Below are 24,420 nucleotides of genomic sequence, written 5' to 3'. Positions count from 1 at the left end.
CATCATGGCCACAAGATGGAGTAAGGATGCTCACCCTCATCTGATGTCACCTGAGTGAGCTGAGTGAGGAATAACTCTTCTTGTGTTAAGCTATTTCAATTGGGGGTGGGGGGGGGGGTTGACTCTTGGGACAGCTAAAACTAATTATCCTGATGATCTATCCTCCAACTTAGACCCAAGGAGGAGCATGTTTTGAAAATATTCTCTTCTACCGTGTATGTAAATATTTCAAGAAAATGCTCCTTTGTGAAAAAATTTTAGGACATGGTTATGTCTGCTTCTGTGAACAAAAACTACCAAGAGAATACTTCACATCTTTTATATATCAAAGTCTCAAGCTCCTTGGGCTGCAATTCTATCAACAAATGTTACAAATACACTTGGATTCTTGATCTCATAACACAATATAAATACACACTGGTGAGATCTTCTTCAGTGCTTTCGCAGTGCTAAATACCAGTGATGAAAGCAAAAATATGGTTTTCTGTAACCAGATGCTCTACATGGAAAGAATGATATTGCTTAATCGTTTCATTAATGCCTTCTTTTCTTTGTCCTGGAAAATGCTGTTTTGTCTCTTCTTTTGATGTCCTTCCCCAGCATGTTTGCTATAAGACGACTCTAACCCTTCCTCTGATCTGCTTTCCTAACAAGGATTGCAGAAGAATTCTGTGCAGATGCTGAAAGGCAATATAGAAAGAGGAGGTGGTCTTTGAAGCCCTGTGCCAGAAGTGACCACATATCCCCAAAGCAGCATCGGGAGCCACAGCAAACATTTACTTAGCACCCACCTTATGTCAGGCACTTTGCTAAGAGCTTTATCCCTTGCCCCCATAGCAACTCTACAAATTGGGCCTGCTATCACCATTGTAAGAGAGGACACTGAGTCTCAGAGAGGCTTAAAAACGAAGAGCTGTCACACTCCAAAGCCGTGCCTTTTCCATGACATCATGGGCCTTCCATTCAGATGCCGTTGCCACTAGCCAGATGCCTCCAAGACATCTGGCTGTTGGCCAGTCTAAGAAGGGAGCAGGGCGGGGACAGGAGCTAGCCCCTTGAGCACCTACTAAGTGCCGGGACTGTGCTAAGTAAGGCTTTCCCCAGCTCAACCTGTTGCCTAACCTTGCGCCTGGGGATCGGATGACTCGGGGCCTCCTTCCAGGTCACACGCGCCTCCTTTATTAATGTGATAGCTGCCACTGCACTTCTTTTTAGTGAAATATTTTGGGCCACTCAGTCAGTTGTTTGGGTTCAATGAGAAATTGATGCCTCTTTATTCAAAGCTCTGTCAGGAGCTTGGAAAACATCATGCTACTTTGAAAAATGAGGGTTTTTTAAGATTAAAAAAAAAGCCCTGATGATTTAAGAACTTCTCTGGTTGCCAGTTGGCCCCACTCCTCCTCTGGGAGCCAATCAGGAGCGACCATGGTAATAAAAGAGTCCCTCTCCCCCTTCCTGGCTGCTTTCAAGAGTGATTAGTGGAGGGGATTCATAGGCCTTGGTTTTGTGTTGTTTTGTTTTGGGGGGGGGGTTCTTTTTTCCTTGCACTTGGAGAATAAGTTAATTATGATTGGTTAAAATTTGTGTGTTTTTGCTTTTATCCCTGAACCACAATTAGAGCTCCTGACAGCCTCCTGGCCCTCAGAAATTCCAGCTGGTATAATAATTGATAACCGTGGTTATGAATAGATTGGAAACAAGACTGTGAAAGAATGCCTAGCCACTTCAGAGGGTCATTTATAGCGTGCTGAAGGGAAAAGAGAATTTCAGGCCTGGAAAGCTTAGAAACAGAACGAGTTTTTATCAGTTTCCTTGACACTGGCAGATCAAAGCCTGGGTTGCGCTCTCTAAGGGTTACAGATAATGGGGTGGCCGCTAATTCATTCTGCTGCTGGAGCTGAGGCCTATTCAGAAGGGTAAACCAGGGAGTTTTCATGGTGCTGCTTTGTAGTCTTTATCACAGGACCAATGCAAGAATCACCTTTTTATTTTAATGAGACATTTGAAAAGTATTTGATTCCCTCTGGCTAGGGGCTCTTTCTCCCGGCTGAGACAGTAAGAAAGGATTGCCCAATGGAGCTGGATTCTCTGAAAGCAATAGTATCTGCATTCTACCCACCTGCCCCCCTTGTCAGTTTAATAATTTCAGTGCAGGCAAAAGCTGGGCACGTGGGAAAGGAACAGAATTTCAGAGAATATCCTGAAAACAGAATATTTTCACTTGCTTTTTTTCTAACAATGAGGTTGTCCGCAGAGATGCAAGTTCGATCCCAACTCCACCGTTCTCTGTGTACAACTTTGGGAGTAGATTTATATCCTTTCCTAAAGCTCCTCTTCCTCATCTGTGAAATGGAAATAATGACAACAAGCCTGTCATGTTGCTGCAATGTTCAATGCAGTACTGTATCTAAAGCACTCAAGTATCTAAAGAAGACATCTTCGGTAAGCATTTTGTGATTGAAAGAATGAATGAGTTGTCTCCATCAAGCCTCACAAAACTCCCTTAACTGTAGTGAGTAGATATTTTTAATACTATAAACATGTGTTAAGCATTGTCATGAGCTGAATTATATCTCCCCTAAAATCCATATGTGGATGTCCTAACTCCAGAGCCTCAGAATGTGACTGTATTTGAAGATAGGGTCTTTAAAGAGGCAATTAAGTTAAAAGAAGGTCATATAGGTGGGCCCTAACACATTATGACTGATATCCTTATAAGAAAAGGAGATTAGAACACAGACACACACAGAGGGAAGACCACGTGACGGCACAGCAAGAAGACAACCATCTACAAGCCAAGGAGATAAGCCTCAGAAGAAACCAATTCTGGTCTCCAGAATTGTGGAAAATAAATTGCTGTGCTTAAAGTATCTAACCCGTGGTATTTTGTTATTAGCAGATTAATAACAAGCATCTACTATGTTATTGTCTTTAGTTTACAAATTCTAATACTGTTGGGTTTTTAGGCTCAAGGGACTTCTCTATTTTGGCACAAAGGGACATAGGAATTGCACATAGAAGACTTGGTTTTGGTCCCAGCTCTGCCACTGTTTCCAGAGCAGGCACAACATCCTAACTGAGTTTCTGTTCCCTCACCTAAAAAACTGTGAGGTTAAATGAACAATGTCTTATAACAGAGAAAGGCTGCACACTTGTCATTGTTCCCAGGATCTCCCCAGGTGGAGCCCACAGTTCACCCAGGCCTCCCATCTCCTGGCCTCAGTTTCTCTTCTCAGAACATCTCACAGCCACATAAGATGCAAAGCTCGCCACTGTCTGAGAGCTGCCTCAAACTGTAAGGCCGCAGATAACACCTAGAACTGCTGATTTCTCAGGTTACAGGAAAGGGAAAAAACCCAGGGGGATTGTAAAATCAAGTGAAACTTGTTCACCTATTGCTACTATAGGATGAGTCAGTGAGAGGTCCCACCTGCTCTGGCTGTGCCTGGGCAGCTAGCTGTGCTCCATGGGGAGCCCTTCTACCTCCAGGAGAGGAGTACAACCTGACACTCATGGCAGCATCATCTCTGTCGGCCTGTGATCCGATAATCAGGCATAATTATATGGGTGCCTGTGCCCCAACAGTTCTGAAACTGTTCTACTGAGGCACAACTCCAAGTAGGATGTCAGAACTTCAATGCTAGTTCCACTAAAGGTCTTGCTCAAGAATGAATCCCAGGGCTAGAAAGCATCTCATCCCCAAGGTCTCTGTCCCAGAAGTTCCTTTTCTCTACTTTTCTCCACTCCAGAACCCAGCCGCAAGATGCCTGACAGCCAAGACCCCTGTCAACTCAACCCAGAGCCCAGCAGGAAAGATGAGTCTCCTGGGACTAGGATCAGCCATAGATTTTGCCCACCCATGAGATGGGAAATAAGCCAAAGGGGAACAAATCCACATCTTATGCCTTTTCTTTGTCTTCCAGGTAGAGTCTCACAGCATGCTGTGTGCACAATCAGTGCTCAGTAAATATTGTGAGCTGAGTTTAATTTCTCATAAGTTTGGTGATACATGTGAAACAGCTTACTGGCATTTTCAGTTTGATTGGAAATAAATTAAAACACACAAAGTAGTTTATGAGTGCAGACACTCTTAACGATTCAGAAGAAATTCTGACCTCATGTGTAAAAGGCATCACAGAGTCCTAGAAACTGTAATTCTGCCTCAGAGATGGGAAACAGATTATCCTGAACCGATACAGCTGTCCCCTAACTGTACTGTCTACCTCAATCCCCGGTCCATCCCTCCAACTGCTTCTGGGGAAAAAATGCAAAAACATAAATCTGATCACACCATTCTCTCAGCTTAACACCTTTATTTTCCTAGGAGAAAAGCCAAGTTCCTTATAAGGCATTGCATATCTCTACAATATCAAGCCAGTCAACATCTCCATCCTCATGGGCTAACTTTCTGAGCTTCTACCACATCCCCATGTACCTTTCTTTGAATACTCTTTGCCCATGACCTCTATGTAGTTGTTCATGTGCTTCTCCCAGGCTGGAAGGCAGTTGCCTACATTCCCTACCTATCCAAATCATTCTCGCCTTTTTAAGGCTCAGCTCAAATTCTACTTCCCATTTGTAGTTCCTCTGATTGAGAGATTGTGCCTCCTTCTTCACTTGTTCGGATGTTCCATTCATCCTCGCATCCCCCATATTGTTATGGGGTGGAAAGAGAAGGTGGATGGGGAGGAGATGAAGATGAGAATGAGACTCAGATGCTTTCTAGATAAGCCAACTGGTTCCAGGCAGGGCTCTGTAAGAACAATACCATGATGGAAGATTGTCTGCTTCAGAGTTTTGACCCTGATCTGTTGAGATTCCCAGAAGAATCTCAGTGGCAGGATCAAATTAACTAAAAGTGCAACAAGTTATAAATAATCAGAATGCAAATCCAGTCATCGATAAGTGAGGATACCTATGTGTGGACACTAAATTACTTGAACACCCTGTTGAAGATACTATATACTCTGCCTCATCCTGACATCCTGGTACCTTAGAATTAAAATTATTTCCACACATGTTGTTTGATGATCCTATATTTGAAAGAAGAGAAGTAGAAGGATTGGGGGAGGACATTACACGTGGACTCAGGAAGTCAGACATGCTAGTCCTCAAAAGGGCAACCTCCACAATAACCTAATGGCTGAGGGGTTAGGTGCCCATCACTTGGACACTGTGAGATGGATTCTGACATTTGTTTATCTTAATCCTGATTTTCTATGTCCATGATCTTCCTATTGGTACCATTTCTTTAAATGTATTAATGCCACATCAAATCATAATCAGGTGACAGGTCTTGGTCTGGAAACACTCTGCCACCTCCTATGCATTGAATATTTATTTAATGACTCTAAGAATTCTAGATGTCCTCAGTGGAGCTGCGTTTGGCATTAGAGTTATTTGTTAATAAGTGCATGCCTCCCAACCTTGACGGAGGGCCCAGTGAAGAAAGAGTTTGTGTTCTATTGTCTCTGTTTCATTCAATTGTTAGCTCGGTGCCTGGCATAAAGCACGTGGTAAATAGACTTTGAATGAGTAGATGGCATAATGGATGGACGTGTCAGTGGAGGAAGGCCTGGATGGATGAGTGGATAGATGAGCAGATGGATGAGGAAATAAATGTTACTGGAATCCTAATTCTACCCTTGCTTTAGAAAGAGAGTCAGTAAGAAAACAAACAAAAAGCTTTGATGTGCTGCCATGATGGATGGTGAAGAATTTCCCACAGTGATAAAGTGGATAGCTTAGAAAAATCCAGTTAATGCTTTTACCCCATACCACCTAAAATTACCTTACACTTACAAAATACCAACTTTCTAGCTTGACCAGGGAGCCATGTTTCTCATTGATACAACAAGTTTTTAACAAAGAGCCATACTGGAATTACCAGAGTTCAAGGCATCCATGTGCAAGAAAACATGGAGCACAAAGATTACACAAAGATAGATTGACTCTGTCTCTGGAAATTCAGAAGCCCTTTCAGTCTCTTCCAAAATATGAATTTGAATCTGGAAAATCAGCATCTAAATCCTGCCTCTGCTATTGACTAGCTGTGTGGCTTCTGGCCAGTGTTACCTCTGTGACATCAGTTTCCCCAACTGTCAAGTGAGGATCATAATTTCTGTCCTGCAGAGCTGGTGGAGTTAGTTGTTGTAGAGTGACATCTATAAAAGCCCATTGCATGTGATAAAGTATTAAAGGAATGACCTTGTGTAGTAGATGCATGTGGTTTACCCATCATGCCCCCCTCCGTCAGGGAAACGCCACTGTCTCCTTCTGACTGCATGGTGCAGATACTCCCAGGACAGTTCTGGCTTCTCACAGATTCAGCCTTGCTGCACATCTGTGGCAGACCCAGAAAAGAACACACAGCCCATCTGGGTCCATCAGTGCCCTTCCCCAACTTATTTAAACTGGGACCAGAGAGAGACAGATGCAGTCCCTGTCTGACAATGACATTGAGATCTGTTGGGCCTAGGGGGAGCAGTAAGCAAAATGAAGAAGGACAATTTGAGCAGCTGGATCACGTTCACCAAGAGAGGCCAAGAAGAGGAGAAGAAAGCACGGTCTAGCCTGCAGTGTCTGGATGGCTCACTCCAGACATCCCTGAGACCAGCTACACTGCTCTTCACCTGGATGGGAGAGGAAACACGTGTCCCTGGTCCACGTCCCAGTGAACCAAGCCACGTTCTCTCTACCTGCAACAAAACATCCTTCTCAGGGAAACAGGATCATTGACAATTAATCACTTATCACTTCATTTAAGCTACATGAAGACATGGACATTTGCAAATTACTTCACTCTCTGTTCCCTGTGCCTGCACATAGCAGGTACACAATAAATATTTTTTCAATAAATAATTATATTATTATGATTGTAATAACTACTGGAGTATAAAAAGCTCTACTTATCAGCAAGCAAGTTTAGGCAGCTTTTAGAGACAGTGATACCCTTCTCAAAGTCTTCCTCTGTCCACACAAAGCACCTGCATTTTCTTTTTTTTTTTTTGAGACGGAGTCTCGCTCTGTCGCCCAGGCTGGAGTGCAGTGGCACAATCTCCACTCACCGCAAGCTCCGCCTCCCGGGTTCACACCATTCTCCTGCCTCAGCCTCCCGAGTAGCTGGGACTACAGGCACCCGTCACGGCACCTGGCTAATTTGCATTTTCATATTTTGATGTATCGTCAATGAAAAGCAACTAACTCAAAACAGCATTAGCAGCAATGTGGCTGTGGTCCATAATTTCAAACTCAATCTCTCCATAACTAAAGTTATATTTTCACTGGCTACCATGGGGATCAGAACACGGAGATTAGAAGGCTCAGGTTTGAAGCCCAGCTTTTCACTTGAAAAACTAGTTAAGCTCTCATCCTCAGTTCCCACATCTGTAAAATGGATTTGATATCTGTATCAGGGTTTTTGCAAGGATTCAATTAGGTCACAAATACAAAAAGGTAGTCAAGGCATAAACTCTGTATTTTATGTAGGTTACGTATGTACACACTCATATATATGTATGTGTATGTGTGTATATATTATATATGTGTAACGTAGGTAAACACACACACATACATAAATATACACACACATATATGTATAAACATATATATAATAGTTTATATACAAACTGTTATATATAAACACATATATAAACATATATAATAAGTATATTTATATATCTATATAAACTCTGTAGTATGTTATTTTAAGTACCTACAAGCTGAAATTTCTTCAAAGTGTGTTCTCAGAGATATTTAGATTCCGCCCTGCACGCCACCCCCTGTCACTGCAAATCAAAAGTGAACTTTGGAAAACTTTCCAAAGCCACCTGAAACAGGTTTCTTTAGTGTGAGCTGCTTCCCCAAAAGAAACACTGTCAACTTGTGTCCTCCCTGTGGCCCCTTGTGTGGCCCCCAGTAGAGTGTCATGCTGAAGGGCAGTGTTGTCCCCAGAAGCAGTGCACCGGCCGTGGCTCACCACATGCAGCCCTGGCAGTGGCCCCAGTGGAGTAAACCACCAGTATCCCCAGGCCCCTTTGCTCAAGTGCTGGGAAAATCCCCTGTGCGGTTGCCAGGGATCTGACGCCTTTGAAGAGCTGGTGGTTATCTTTATGGCTCCTTCTGGGCAGAGCCTAAGTATAAGAAAGGTCACAACCTACTCTTCCAGTCTCCCCGAGAAGAGAAAAAAAGGAAATGGCCAAGAATTACAGAAAGAGATTTTAGGTTGATAAATGAAGCCACTTCCCAGCCACGCTAAGCAGGGTGACAGCTTCTTGGACAGAGTTGTCCAATGGGCTCAAGTCATCCTCCCCCTCAGGGTTATAGGCCTTAATCTTGTTCTGACAAACCATGGGCTGCTTGGGATCAATTAAGTGTGACACAGTTGAGGTGTCCGGCCCTCTAGAGCCTTCAGTCAAGCTCGTGTTTGGGGCTGCATGTCAGGCACAAGTGTTTATATTTCCCACAGTGGGTTCTCCTAAGACATGGGCATCTGAAAATAATTTCACATTTGAAAAAACACATATTAATATGTTTATAATCACATATATATGTTTATTGTGTGCAAATTTATTAATGTCTCTATAGAATATTTTATATTATATTAAGTCTGATTGGCATCAGATAGTAAATTGGCTTACAAAGTAAATGAGTACATCTTGAACCACTGCATAGGTATATTTTAATATGTATAGTTTCTTCTTCTTCTTTTTTTTTTTTTTTTCCGAGAAGGAGTCTCGCACTGTTGCCCAGGCTGGAGTGCGGTGGCGTGATGTTGGCTCACTGCAACCTCAGCCTCCCGGGTTCAAGTGATTCTCCTGCCTCAGCCTCCCAAGTAGCTGGGATTACAGGTATGTGCCACCACACCCAGTCAATTTTTGTATTCTTATTAGAGACTGGGTTTCACCATGTTGGCCAGGCTGATCTCGAACTCTTGACTCGTGATCCACCCGCCTTGGCCTCTCAAAGTGCTGGGATTACAGGCATGAGCCACCGCACCCAGCCCCAAATGTATAGTTTCTAGTATGCTTATGAGGCCATAAATTGTTCTCTTATATATATTCAAAAATATATGTATATATTATGTGCTGCACATATAAACACCCACATCTCCATACATAAATACAGACCTCATGTTTAATTAGAATCTAAAAAATTACATCTGGTCTAAACTTTGAACTCTTGATCTAATCTGTATATTTATTTAAAGAATGATAGAATTGACTATTGTAATGTGATTTTAAAATTCTTTTAAGAATCAATGAAACTCCATGGTGACTATAATTGAGATGAAATGAGTGAAATAGCTCCTGCCTCTTTATACTGATTTTTTGTAAGTTGTAGGAACCAAATATTATGAACTTATAATATTTACTGTTCACTCAATAATTATTATTATTGTTAATAAAATGATGATAATGATAAGAGAAGCTACTATGCAATATTTACTATATGCCATACAATGCTAGGTACATTATAAACATCATATCTTTAAACCTCGCCAGCATCATAACCATTTATATATGAGAAATTCCAGTTTAAAGGTTATGAAATAGCTTCAGAGAAGTTCAGAGAACCACACTTCTACTCCAATATGCAACCAAGAGTTGAACCAAGCTCTGTTGAACACCAGAGAACTTGTTCTTCCTTCTACGCTGCACCACCCACCACATCACCCCATTATAAACAGATTGAGCAAAAGACTGGCCACTACTCCCTGCGCCTGTGAACATCTAGTCCCTGTGGTCATTTTTCAGACAAAGGAAACAGTCATAAATGAGGCAGAAATGCTACTATTTTTCCTGAATTAGACTTGATTTGTTAAGAGCTCAAGACAAATGTAGACACTGTGCTCAAAAAATGCTGACTGGGGTCATTTAATGAGTAATCCCATATTTCTAGGAAGGCATAAGAATGAGTTAGAAAGAAAATAAAAAGCAATAACTGAAAATTCTTACACTAGGAATATGTTTCTGTTTAGGAAGATGCTCTTTAACTTAAATGACAAAAAACTCAGAATACATTTTCCAAGTGATCATATTTTATTGTGAGACAGAGCTCTATTTTCAAATATCTGCTTTCAACTCTCACCAAAATATGAAAAGCAAAACTTCTATGTCACTAATGGCAGGTACATCTGGGTATAAAATGCAGCTTTCTAAATTTTGCTTCCCCAGCCAACTTCAACTTCAAAGCCTCATCCTCTGTGCAGAAAACCACTGGGAAGTGGGGGATTAGAGTCTGAAACTAGTCACCGTCCATCCAGGGATCCCTGAGCCACCAGCCTCCAGATAGCTTCACCACATCTGGTTCTGTCCTTCAACCCTTCAAGAAGTACTTTCTAGAGACAAACTGCCTCCTGTATGCCAAACATGAAAAGTGATAAAGATGACTGGATGGATGGCTACAAGGAGCTCACAGGTGTCTATCTGGAGGGAGAAACAGACACATAAACACGTGGTCACTAATACAGTGTGATAGGAGATGGAAGAGTGCTGCCTGCAGAGTGAAGTGTGGGTTTCCAAAAGGCAGTGAACCACTCAAATTAGGGATACAATTGTCCACAAGAAGCGTTGAGTCCACCTTGAGCTAGACCTGTTTGCCAAGAGAAAACAGAGCGAGTCCAAGCAAATGTATGAGACCACTCTCCATAATGTCTCACAAAGCAATGATTAGGCCTGAAGGTCAAAGTCAGAGGAGCCCCAGCCTCCCAGGGTAGCAGATAGAAAGCAAGATACCCGTGTATTCTGTACAATCCATCCCAAGGCCAGCTTCTCTCAGAAGCCTTTTTTATGCCCTGGAGTGGATGTGACCTCGCTTCCATGGAACTTCATAAGGCTTTCCTTGTACATCTCTCCTGTGACATGTGGCATCAACTCTAGCTTTCTTGTGGCACTTCCTTTGCCCACAGAATTTCCAGCCAGAGACAGAACCAGAAAATGCAACTTAGTTCAATGATTCAGCAAACCTTTACTATACACATACTCTGAGCCACGTACTGTGCTAAGAGTTGGAAATTAAAGTGCTCAGAGTCTAGTGGAGAAAACACACTCACTAATCTATATCATATCAATTGGTATCTGCTCTATGGCAGTGGGATCCCCGTGGCATAGTGGTATAGCAGGGGCATTGGGACACCAAGGGGTTCAGATAAACCTTCACACAATAGAAGGTGATGAATTTGGGTCTGGAAAGCTCCACTAGAGTTTCTGGACAAATTAGTTTAGTTTAAGTTTAAACTAGCTACTTCAAAAATACCAGGATCACAGGCTAGGCATAGACCTTTCACAGTATGGGAAGGGTCAGCTCATGGCCACACTGCAGCCCCAGGGAGTAGGGGAATGGAGGCTCAGCAGGGTGGCCGGGTGCCTCGCTGGCTGCCAGCACCATGGTCACTTGGCTGCTGGCCTCTACAGGCCGGCCAGGCACTACCACCAAACCTCCTTCTAGCTGCATTCCCTCTTTCTCCCATCTTCATCTGACTCTACTTAGGGACACCCCCAAGAATCTGGAAAATAAAAATAGATTATCCTGAAAACACTGTCTAAAAAAGTTGTGGCATTGTGGAAAACAGAGAAGGGCAGAGCCTTGGACTCAGTGTTCAGGAGCCCTGGTGCTCATCCCAGCAACCCAGCTCCTCTGCGAAGCGGCCATGAAAATAACCACAAAAAAAAAAAAGAGAAGGAAAAGAAAAGAAACAAAAGCATGTGGTTGATTTTGATCTAGACCTTAGCGTTGGGAAGACGCCTCCTGCATCCCTTAATAATCCTTGGTAGCACATGATCTAGTACCTCCTTTTCTGATGATTGCAGATCTTCAAGAAGGGATTTTTTTTATTACCAGTAAAAAATAAATAAATAAAATACCCACACAGATAGCAATAATCTCTCAGCTTTGATCTTTTCCCGCACCTCTACGTGTTTCCTGTCATTTGCTTTTTGCATTAACTCCATTTTACAGATGGGGAACCTGAGGCCCAGATCACGGAGACTCTTGCTCAAGGCCACAGAGCAAGTCAACGATGGGGCCTGCAGTAAAGGCCACCCTTCCTACCATGCTTGGCCCTTCCCCACTCTCTTGGTCTCAACGCCCATCACAGGAGGGATTTTCCCTCTGCTCTGATCTCGAGTTTTGCGGGCTCCAGGGTCTGGGAAGCTCCAGTGCAAACACCGACTGCCTTTTCTCCTGCACTGCCCCTTCTCTTTTCCAGGTCTGGCCCAGTCCAGGGATGCCTCTGATAAGCCAGCTTGGAGGCTTCAGAGGGGCGTCCACACTTGGGTGTGTGCAGTACGTGCACATGACGTGTCCATCTCATGGTTGTTTGCCTGCCTGTGTGGCCATGTTTTTGCGCACAAAGGTTGGAATGTTTCTTCCCTTTGTAACAGATGAGTGTGTGTGTGTAGATATCTCCATGGGGTGTGTGTGTGTACATCTGTCTGTAGGGTATGTATGTATGTAGATGTCCCTGTGGCGTGCGTGTGTGTGTGATGTTCCCATGGCGTGTATGTGTGTGTGTAGTATGTGCAGGTGTCTCTGTGCATGTAGTTCTGTGATATGTGTGTGGTGTGGTTTGTGTGTGTGCAGATGTCCCTGTGGGGTACTTGTGTGTGTCTCTGCAGTGTGTGTAGAGATGGAGAAATAGATAGAGATATGCAGATGTCTGAGATCTATGTGTATGCAGACATTCCTATGTATGTGTCACTAAGAGGTGTGTGTGTCATGGTGTGTGTCTAGCTCTAGGGTATTCGTGTCATGATGTGTGTGTGTGCATATCTCTATGGTGCTTGTGGCATGGTGTCTCTGTGTAGATGTCCCTGTGTGTGTGTGTGTGTGTGTGTGTGGTGTGTATATCTATATCTGTATTTATCTAGATTCATATAGAGATATGTATAGTTACAGAGGGGTCTCTGGAATATGTGTGTATCTCTAAGGTGTATATGTGTGTCTCTGTCATGTGTGAGGTGTGTGTCTCTGTGGCCTGTGTGGTATATGTGTGTCTCTATGGTGTGTGAGGATCTCTATGGTGTGTGAGGTGTGTGTGGTGTGTGTGTGTGTCTCTATGGTGTGTGAGGTGTGTGTGTCTCTATAGTGTGTGAGGTGTGTGTGTCTCTGTGGTGTATGAGGTGTGTGTGGTGTGTGTGTGTCTCTATGGTGTGTGAGGTGTGTGTGGTGTGTGTGTGTCTGTGGTGTGTGTGGCGTGTGTGTGTCTCTATGGTGTGTGAGGCGTGTGTGGTGTGTGTGTCTCTATGGTGTGTGTGTCTCTATGGTGTGTGAGGTGTGTGTGGTGTGTGTGTGTCTCTATGGTGTGTGAGAATCTCTGTGGTGTGTGAGGATCTCTATGGTGTGTGAGGTGTGTGCGGTGTGTGTGTGTGTCTATGGTGTGTGAGGTGTGTGTGACTCTGTGGTGTGTAAGGTGTGTGGTGTGTGTGTGTGTCTCTATGGTGTGTGAGGTGTGTGAGGATATCTATGGTGTGTGAGGTTTGTGTGGTGTGTGTGTGTCTCTATGGTGTGTGAGGTGTGTGTGGTGTGTGTGTGTCTCTATGCTGTGTGAGGTGTGTGAGGATCTCTATGGTGTGTGAGGTGTGTGTGGTATGTGTCTGTCTCTATGGTGTGTGAGGTGTGTGTGTCTCTGGTGTGTGAGGTGTGTGTGGTATGTGTGTGTCTCTGTGGTGTGTGGTGTGTGTTTTCCTCTGTGGTGTATGAGGTGTGTTTGTCTCTGTCGTATGTGAGGTGCGTGTGTCTCTGGGGTGTGCGTGGTATGTGTGTGTGGTGTGTGTGGTGTGTGTGGTATGTGTGTGTGGTGTGTGTGTGTCTCTGTGCTGTGTGTGTATCTCTATGCTGTGTGTGTAATGCACGTGTGTCTTTAAGTGATGTGAAGTGTGTGTCTCTATGGTGTGTGTGTGTGTGTCTCTGTGGTGTGTGTGTATCTCTATGCTGTGTGTGTGTCTCTATAGTGTGTGAGGTGTGTGTGTGTCTCTATGGTGTGTGTGTATCTCTATGCTGTGTGGGGGCGGGGGGCGGGGGGCATATGCTCCGCTATGATGACTGCTGAGCTGGCTTCTCCGGAGCGTGGGGACACAGCTGACACAGCAGGACACAGAGAGAAGCCTGGGGAGGCGGCCACACCAGCCGTTCTTGCTTACTCAGGCTGAGCCATGGAGCAGCTGCTCATGTGTTTTCCAGTGAGCAGAGTGTTCCCAGCCCTTGCTTCCCAGAACCCAGAGAGGGGCAAGGGCACTCACAGTCAGGGGGTCCTGTAGTCCCTCTGAGGGGTCCACATCCGACAGGCAGGGGCTGGTCCAGGAGGCCTGAAGACGTGCCCTGGAAGGCAGAGGAGTGCAAAGGGCCTGGGAGGCAGTGGAAGGGAGGTGGCATTCTGGCAGAACTGGAGCTGGGAGGCACCTGAGGCAGAGGCGCCTGTGAGGCACGGGGCAGTGAGTGTGAGTGTGTGTGTGTGTATATGCATGTGTGCTGTGTGTACCTGTGTGCAGTGTCTGTGCATATGTGTGTACACCCAGATGCATTTACCCACAGGCTCCACATAATTTCAATTCTTTCTCCTCCCACTTCAAGTTCACCAAGCAGCGTAATGCTTCACCTTCTGGCAGGGCAGGGACCACTCAGCTTCTTTCCTGCTTCTGCCCCCAACCCTCCCCAAGAAGATGACATCCTGTTACTGTACAGGCTGCCAGGGACTCCATCGTGCTATTGTCAGAACCCCAAGGCTCGGAGACTGTCAGAGGCCACACAATTTCCAGATAGGCAGGCCGGCCTTTTTTCCAGGTCACTTAAAATACTTTTATGGGTAGGTTTGCCTTGAACAAAATCCTGTTCAAATGGTACAAACCTGACGATAAACTCAACCTTTCAGATTACAGTTTAAACTTCACTGCCGCACCAGGGAGAAGAAAAAGCAGAATTCCTGTGCGTTTCAGAAAACCTCTCGGAATAATCCCTTGAGCCTCCCTACAGGGCTCCAGTCCCCTAATGGATGCTTTGATGACAGCAGATAAAGGCCAAAGGTACTTTTATTCTCTCAGAAATTGCTCCAAATAAACAACCTTGATGATTAAAGCAATAGAAATCCTCAGAAGATTGATGGCTTGGAAAATGCTGCTGAGTGAATGAATAACTTCCCCCTTTATTTCCAAGAGCTAATATTTGTCCACATTTGCTGCCTTTTAGGAAAAAAAAAAGTGCAACCTTTTTTTGTGCTGAGTTTGGTCAGGGACAAATAGGCACCATCCAGTTATGACTTGAACTTTAAACCAAACTCCATTTGTGAGCCACTGAGGCTGCTTGTCAGCGGCCTCCCACTTGTCAGGCACAGGTATGAGACCCGCACGCGGAAACACCATATCTGGGTGCAAACGTTTAGGGCGGGGCCAGGCACCAAAACTCCTTTTGAAGGCTTTAAAATGCTCCATGTGCTCTTCTGCTTCCCCCATGTCCCCAGGCACAAGTCTGGAAGCATTTCTCAATGTGCCTCCTGTGTCTAAACAAAACCTGCCGTCGAATGCCAAGAAGTAGCCTTCAGCCAACGATGGCAGCTGCTCTGTCCTGGCTGACCCAGGGGCTAGGGCTCCCCAGTCACTGCTGAGGGCTCCACTGGAGGATGAATTGCTGCCTTCAAGGGCTGGCTCTGGAGAGCAGGTGATGGGGTAGGCTCAGCATCAGGAATCAGGGACTCTGGGAAGAATCTGGCTCAACAGAGCACTGCAGAGGCTTGATGGGAGTGGCATATTGCCAAATTACCAAAGCCCAGAGGCCGAATCCCTGGCATGCACATGTACACTCCCCTGCTTCCCCACACTGGAGGGATAGATGTCCGCTTTCCCGAGCCAGCTGCACAGCTTTCTGAACAGTGTCCTCCGGCTAAGGAGCTTGACTCCCAGATCTCGGGATTTCTCACCACCCTTTCCCTGAGTGGCATCAACCTAGTTCCTGTCACCTTTCCTTCCATCCCATTTCAGCCACCCATTCCCATGACTTCACCTTGGAACTTGCATTCCCTGGAGCTTTCCCAGCCCTGAAACCCTGAGTGCAGATCTGTCTGTCTCTGATCACAGCTCTCAAACCCATCCAGCTTTTTCTCAGTTCATCCTGCTACCTCAGCGTTCCGCTAATTTGACTTCAGAGAGACCGCTTATCTCTTAGTCCCTCTGCTTTCCCCTTGTCCATCAGCTTGTCAGGAGGTCAGTTGTTCTTTTCTTTAAACTTACCTGGAAACATTAAAACCCTGGATCCAGCCAGCCAGCCATCTTCTCTGTACGCACATCGAGAGTGTGGTGCATTCCTGCAGAAAATCACAGGGACACAGGTTGCCATTGGTACAAACTGATAGTCTCTCCCCATCTGGGTCTGTGATGTTGCCTGAAACTTTTCCATGCCTCCCACGCCTGGCCCATGCCCATCCTCCTCAGTCCATATCAAATGACCCTCTCTCTCTCAGACCTCCCACCTCACGAGCTGGCCCTGACTAAGAGCAAGTGTCAGTCATGGTGTCACACACAAATTAGAAACCACAAGAAAGACGGGAATGTAAAGTAGTACAACCACTATGGAAAACAGTGTGGAGATTCCTTAAAGAACTGAAAGTAGAACGACCATTTGATCCAGCAATCCCGCTACTGGGTATCCACCCAGAGGAAAATAAGTCATTATACAAAAAAGATACTTGCATATGCATGTTTATAGCAGCACAATTCACAAATTGCAAAAATGTGGAACCAGCCCAAATGCCCATCAATCAACAAGTGGATAAAGAAACCGTAGTATACATATACAGTGGAATACTACTCAGCCATAAAAAGGAATGAATTGATGGCATTCACAGAAACCTGGATGGGACTGGAGACGATTATTCTAAGTGAAGTAACTCAGCAATGGAAAATCAAACATCGTATGTTCTCACTCATAAGTAGGAGCTAAACTGTGAGGATGCAAAGGCATAAGAATGATACAGTGGACTTTGGTGACTCAGGAGGAAAAGGTGGGAGGAGGATGAGGGATAAAAGGCTACAAATTGGGTTCAGTGTATACAGCTGGGGTGATGGGTACACCAATATCTCACAAATCACCACTAAAGAACTTACTCATGTAACCAAATATTGCCTGTTCCCCCAAAAACCTATGGAAAGAAGGAAGGAAGGAAGAAAGGAAGGAAGGAAGGAGGGAAGGAAGAAAGGAAGGAAGGAAGGGAGGAAGGAAGGAAGGAAAGAAGGAAGGAAGGAAGGAAAGATTCCTAGAAAGAAAATCCAACAACATCTTGCCGAATCCTCCACAAACTTACCTACATCCTGTTCTTTCCAGTCTTCCTCAAGTTTTACTAGAAGAGTCAGGAGTTCTCCTGTCTAAGCCAGACCTTCTAGCCTTATTATTTCCTTGAAATTGCTTTCAAGAACCTCTCTGTTGCTAAGCCATCGGAGGTGTTTCTGTCGTCTTCTTCTTCCTTGAATTCTGCAGTGTTCAAAACTACTGACCCTCTTCCTGCTCCGGGTTTCTATATTCCCATGCTCTTCAGTTCTTCCTCCTACCTATGCAAGGAGCCCTTCTCAGCCTTCTCCTTCCTTGCCCTTGTCAAGGTGGCTGTCTTTTTAGTATACACTTTCAGAGCATTTTCATCTGCTCTGGAGCTCACAGAATGGGTTTGTGCTGAGGACTCCAAATAGGTGTTTCCAACTCCAGAGATTCTCCTGACGTCCAGACAGATGCATTTCTCTCCTGGCGAGCGTCTCTACGTGGACACCCTGCAAGCATCTCACACCTTGTATGGTCAAAACTGAACTTTATCTTCTTCCCACCCTAAACCTGGCCCTTCTCCTGGGTTCCTCCTCTCCATGGTTGAGTCGATCCCATCCTCTTCCTGATTTCTAAAGCCAGAAACCTGGGCATGGTTTTTTATTTCTTGCTTTTCCACACTCCTCAGACTAAGCTGACACCTGTTCCTTGCATGTGTGCCCGTTTCCTCTTCTATTCTCTACAGTCCTCGAGGGCAAGGACATATCTGAGTTATCTCAGCAGTTCAGCACCCAGCTTCTTGCCAGGGACTAACAAAGCTCTCAATAAATGTTGAGTGAATGAGAGAACCAGGATGTTGTCACCCTCCTGATACAGATGACTGAGGCTCAGAAAAGTGAAATAGGTTGACGAAAGTCATACAGTTATCAGAGGAGCCAAGCTTTGTCTAAATCCAAAACCAAACACTTCTCCTTTTGTCCTATGTCAGGTTCAGGGATGTGGCATTTTCATATGCCAACAATTCTGCCCACACTTATGGAAAGTTAAAAGCTAAACATATAAGAAATTAGTATTTGAACTTGGAAACAAACTTTCACTTTAATCTCTGAAACTTTAGGATTCCATTTTGTCTCTGCCATGATTTCTGCCAGATACAGCCCAAGGCCTTCCATAGCATTGTGAAAGCTGCCTTAATTACTTCTGCCTGCCACTGGCTCCAGCTCTTCAGCGAACCTCTCCTTCATCCTTCTCTCTAGGTAGTAGCTACATGCCACCTGGCAGTTGTGACCATAGCTCCATATTATCAAATGTGCTCCATCTCTAATGGAGAACAGTGGAGCCTAGAGCTGCCACAAACACATGCACAAACGTACACATACGCACACACACATATGCACACACACACACACATACACACACACTAGGCTGTTCTGGGTAGAGTCAAGGCTGCTGTGCCCAAGCTTCACTATATTGTATAGAAATTGGCTGGGGCCCTAAAGAGGCCAGACTGTTCTTGAGCAACTCTTATGTGCCAGGTCTTGCAGAATAGGAAGAAATGTCCAGCAGGCTGGACACATGGCTCAGGGGCATGTCTAAGTGCGGGGGAAACAGAATTTATTGGCTTGTAACTAGCAACTGCAAGCAGGAGCTCAACCAGGGACAGCAGGAAGAGTAAGATGAAGGAAGGACCAGAGAGAGACTCCCAGGGAATACCGATCTTGGGAGAAAGAAGGCAGGCCTATAGAGATTGGGGGAATCGTCAGAGGATGAGAGCACTAAGATGATAGATGTCATGAAATCTAAAAGATGGGAATGGTCAGTGGTGTCAAATTCACCTGAAGTCCCTGAAATAATGATAGCAACAATTACAATAATGAGGAGGAAGAGGAGGAGGAAGGAAAAGGGAATCATTTGCTGAACTGTTATTCTGTGATAGGTCTGTGTACCCAGCAGTTCCATACATTTAGCACTGATTCTTAAAACAACCTAATAGGCACTAAGAGCTAAGCATTAATATCCCTATCTTACTGAAGAAGGACTGAAAAATATCCACTGAATTTGGGCAGCAGTAAGGTAACCTTAGCAAATCGAATCTTATTAAAGGAGTGTGACTGGGAGACAGATTGAAATGGGTCGAGCAGCAAATGGGAGTTAAGAGTGGAGAGAGACAATAACACTCAAGAAGTTTGGGTGACAAGGAAAGAAGTGAGATCATAGCATGACTAGAAGGAAATAAAGTGTGGGAAGAGACTGTGCTTTAGTGTAGAAGAGGCTTCAACAGATTTCTGGTCTGAGAAGAAAGCAACAGAAAGGGGATTTAAGACACAGGAAGGAGTAGTTGTGGTGAGAAATTAATGCACCTGATATGGTGAGGAAACTCAGGTCAAGGACGTGAGAAGAGATGTCCTCAAGCAGGAGGAAAGGGTCCTCATTCCCAGAGACTAGAGAAAAGGAATTGAAGAGGGGTGAATGTATTAAGTTAACTCATGACTGATAGATGCGAAGTCCAGCGAGATGTTGGAATTTTCTTTCTTTTTTTTTAGATGGAGTTTTGCTCTTGTTGCCCAGGCCGGAGTGCAGTGGCACAATTTCGGCTCACTGCAAGCTCCGCCTCCTGGGTTCAAGCGATTCTCCTGCCTCAGCCTCCCGAGCAGCTGGGATTACAGGCGCCCACCACGTCTCGCTAATTTTTTGTATGTTTAGTAGAGACGGGATTTCGCCATTTTGGCCAGGACGGTCTCAAACTCCTGACCTCAAGTGATCCACCCACCTTGGTCTCCCAAAGTGCTGGGATTACAGGCATGAGTCACCACACCGGGCCTCTTTTTTTTTTAGAGTCTCACTCTGCTACCCAGGCTGTAGCACAGTGGTGTGGTCATAACTCACTGCAGCTTCAATCTCCTGGGCTCAAGTGATTCTCTGACTCAGCCTCCTGAGTAGCTGGAACAACAGGCGAACGCCACCATGCCTGGCTGGGTTTTTAATTTTTTGTAGAGATAGAGTCTTGTTACATTGCTCAGGCTGGTCTGAAACTCCTGGCCTCAAGTGCCACTCCTGCCTCAGCCTCTCAAAGTGCTGAGATTATGGGTGTTGCCACCATGGTAGGACACAATGTTTTTAATGAAGAAAGAATAGGAATTTTGTTTGAGAGTGAAGAGCTGGAGGAAGATAAAGAGCTTGAAGAGAGAAGCAAATGATGTGCTTCTTAAGGGGTGAAAGAGAGTGGAAGCAGTCCCCAAAATGAAAAGTCCCACTGATCACAGAGCACACAAATGTGTACTGGCTGTAGATACATTGTTTTATTCCTTCAGCTGCCCAGATGTTGGAGCCGAGAGGCAGGTTAATGTGCCGATCTCAAGGCGGAATACATCTAAGTGCCTTTAGTGGAAGGAACCAGATGCATGGTGAAGATGAAATGAGAAGGCCTAAGTTGAATGCCAGCACAGCATTCGACACATCTCATATGCTCTGTGAATACCAACCTCCTCCCTCTGCAGAGTTTTCTCAGCAATAAAATGGGGAAGCTGTATAGAGATTGCCAGCTCTGACAATTTAGACTCACGCGGCCATCTCAGAGAAGTCTAAATTCAGTGTTTCTCAGTGTGTGGCCATATGTCCTACCTCCAGCTAGAGAGTTTCTAGAAATCCAGATCTGGGGGCTGCTGCCTACAAAGTCAGAATCTTTGTTGGGAGGGTCCGGGTCTCTACATTTTAATAAACACCACCAGGGATTCCTTCACCAGGTCAAGTTTGAGAGTTACTACTTCCATGGTTAGGTACCCTGGCCCCAACTGACTTATGCAGAAACGTTATTTGCCTGTTGACTCCAGTATTCATTGTGAAATGATGACAAGAAACACCAAGACCAGGTATGGCGATATTGATGTGCAATGATAGAATTCTGGATAAGTAAGAATCCCAGGATGGAATTTAATATTAGCTCTTTTCCTGGGACTTTCCTGGTAAAATGTTGGAGCGAGTGGCTTGTTTATGGCCCACTGAGTCCTGGATTTACTCCTTCTCTTGGATGTGGGCATTTGTCAAAATGCCCTTTAGTCCAGCTTGACTCTTGTCTGTTCTGGGTTTTTGTATGTCAACAGCATGTCTTATTCATGTTTCTCTCCTTCACCTTGCCTGGCCACTAGGAAAGGATCCTTAGGAAAAGGTCAACACATGTTTCCTTATGATTCTCCTTTATTCTATTTGTGTACCTCTTTAAAGCTCACAGAGTACTTCAACACTCGTTATTCTCATACCCTACCATTCTGCAACTTGTATAAAGGTGGTCATTTTCCTTCAGAATTAAGTTAACAAAAGCCCAAAGTGATTAGGCAGTGAGCACATTGTCAAAAGATATGATAGTAGCAGAGCTGTAGGTCACACCATGGTTTTCTGTCTCCAAGTCTTGAGTTCTGCTCAGACAAATAATGAGTTAATTAATTAATTAATTAAAAGCAGATCGAGACCTTCTGTTACCAGACTCTGTAGCCCACATCCTCTGAAGCCTCCCTGGCCAACACCTCCCCAGCTCCAGTCCCTTTCCCAGTCCCTCTTTAGGTTGAGTGTCAGCCTCTGGCCTGGAAGGAGGCCAATAGAGCTGTGCACTGGCCTGGAAGGGCTTTCAGAGGAGCATCTCGGCACACAGGGGTCATGTCACCCTGGCATGGGCAACCACGATCCTTCCGGGCTCTCACTCCCCAACTCTTTACTCCCCTGGAACATGACACCTGATATTGCTATTAAGGCTGCAGTAGAGACCAACAAGAACACTGTGGGGAAGCAAAGGTCACGGCAGAAGCCCATGAACGGGGCTGAAGGAATTTGTCCTGGTGCTGAAGTGCCTTGTCACTTCGGCAGTCGGTTAAAAGGTGTTGGACTATGTAAATGGTTGCTAACTTCATGACTAAAGTTTCAAACCTAATTTTTTGAAACTTTAGAAAATATATTTGAAAAGCTCTTTAAATGGAAACTTTTTCCCTGCCAAGTTCCACCATAGCACACATTTTTACAGCCCTTATAATTCCTTGAAAAAACTCAATGTATAATAGAAGTGCTGACAGATGCTGGGCCATAGCAGCTCGCCTAACAGCTCAGCTGTATTTATTTTTCATTACACTTGACTCTAATTGGTGCCAGTTTAACTGTGGCTCATACTAGCAAGAACCTTTTAACTCAAACATCAGCCCAGGGAAATTGGCTTTTTCCCCCTATCTTGGCTCTTAATATTAGCAACTGCCCATATTTCTTCCTCATCAAACTATCTTTACGTTTTTTGAGAAGCAGTCAGAGTCATTCTTTAAAAAGAAAAGGATTCAAAATAAAATACATATCTACATTCTAATCCAGGCTTTTTCATCCATCAAGTGACCTTTGGAAAGTGGTTTGAACTTTGTGAACCTCAGTTTCTTCATCTATAAATAGAAACCATAAGTCCTGGCTTGCACAGTGTGGTGACGGTTAGATATAAACCCAGCCGAGTGCCTGGAGCATAATAGGAGTTTGATACTTCATTTTATTGTATTCATACTCCATTCATATTCTATTCATATTCTAAAGTATGAGTATTATAATTAAGGTTGATAATATTTTACATAGCAAAGAACGAACTGTCTGATTTGTTCGTGTGGTGTTCTCTGCTACTGTGATGACTTGCAAAGCCACTAACACACACCTGGGGAGTCACTTTGACAATCCCACACAGACCATTCAAAAGCTAGCATTCCAAGGCAAGACATGGGCCTAAGGTTGAAGGTTGCCTGGGTCTTCCCAGCTGCTCTGAGATGCTCTTGGGTGTGGGAATTCTTCAAATGACTCTCAAGTGGCCTCCTTACAGATGTTGACAGGTCCAATCAAACTCTCTTCTCCTGGGCCCAGAGATGAAAGGAAGTGACAGAGGTGTCTGAGAAATTAAAAAGGTGGCCCAGATAATCCCAAGGAAGTTCTCTTGGAACAGAGCGACACACAGCCCAAGTTCTTGAGTTCTGGGTGGTATATATCCTCAAAAGAGGCAATGTTCACACAAAGACTGTCTGCTCATTTAAATAAAACTCTTGAATCGAGGTCAGAGGCCCTTTAGCTGTAGCAAAGGGCCCCCTAAGGAAATCCAAAGTGGACTTACTCTGTCCACCCACCTGGGTTTACTGTATAAAAGGCAGGGGGAAGAAGAGCTTTCTCATTTAGTAACTGCTATGCACAAAGAACTTCACTTACGTTACCCTGACTGAGCCTCACATCAACTGCTTCAAAGCCAATATGATTATTTTGCTGCTGAGGATGTGAGACTTGGAGAGGTAAAGTGGCTTATGAAAGCCATACTGGAACAGAAAGGGCCTGCATTTGAACCTCGGCCTCCAAGAACGAAAGCTCTTGACCACACTCCCAGATGTGAAGGAATCGAAGGAATTCAAGAACTCAAGAAAATTTTATTTTATTCCACAAAAACATAACAGCCAAAATAGGAATTTTAAAATAAAAAACAGAATCACACAGAATTCTACCACCTTATCCAACCACTTTTTATTTTCTATGCTTCCTTCATCCTGGGCAAAGGCAGAGCTGTAATTACACAGGTGAGGATGATTTCAGGAAAGATGTATTAAGCACCTACTGTATGCAGTAACTCCTGGATCTAGATGGTACATGCCAATGTTAGATGACATGTTATTTGTCATGTACTGGTTGAGTTGACATAAGTAGCCATCAGGGTCCCTAAACAAGGCAGAACACGATCTACTGATCGTGCAGCACAAACCTGAACAGAGAGTGTTAAAAAGAGGAAGACCACTGTGGGCTATCAGCATGATCTTGGAGGTTTTAAGGAGCCTGACGGCTGTCCTATGTAACTGGCAGCAACAGTTGAGCCCAAGAGTCCCTAAATTTTGGTACAGAAAGGAAGAGACATACGGAAGTGATGAATTGCCTCTTCCAAGGTAAGCTCAAAGTAGTGAGTGGACTTTTGCTTTTATTATACCACTCACATTTTTCTGCTCATCAATATAATGTATATTCATTATAAAAAACTTAAATTTTATGAAAGTATTTATTTAGCAATTTGACCATTCATAGTAACACCATCCGGAGAACAGTTGGTATTATTTTATGTTAGTTCCTTCCAGCCTGTTTATATGCCTATTTTTACTTAGTTGAGATTATAGTACAAGTACAGTTTAAAAATCTTATCTT

General features: G+C 44.4%; 1 long non-coding RNA gene across 3 annotated transcripts in view; it reads right to left on the bottom strand.

Moving 5' to 3' along the window:
• LOC107985855 (uncharacterized) overlaps positions 1-24,420 on the bottom strand; it is a 78,008-nt gene that overhangs the window by 24,453 nt on the left and 29,135 nt on the right. The window contains exons 2-3 of one of the 3 annotated variants that reach the window (XR_001739300.1): positions 16,221-16,294; positions 2,050-2,342 (exon numbers count right to left, since the gene is read on the bottom strand). This is a non-coding gene — a long non-coding RNA (uncharacterized LOC107985855). Of the gene's footprint in view, positions 1-2,049; positions 2,343-4,627; positions 4,754-16,220; positions 16,295-24,420 lie in introns of those variants that run through there. The other 2 variants (XR_001739299.1, XR_001739298.1) reach the window with 2 other exon arrangements.

This window comes from Homo sapiens, chromosome 2 (assembly GCF_000001405.40).
Source record: "Homo sapiens chromosome 2, GRCh38.p14 Primary Assembly".
In the NCBI taxonomy this organism is placed as follows: domain Eukaryota; kingdom Metazoa; phylum Chordata; class Mammalia; order Primates; family Hominidae; genus Homo; species Homo sapiens.
Note: the sequence above shows the minus strand (reverse complement) of the source record. Positions and strands in the feature narration are given on the sequence as shown.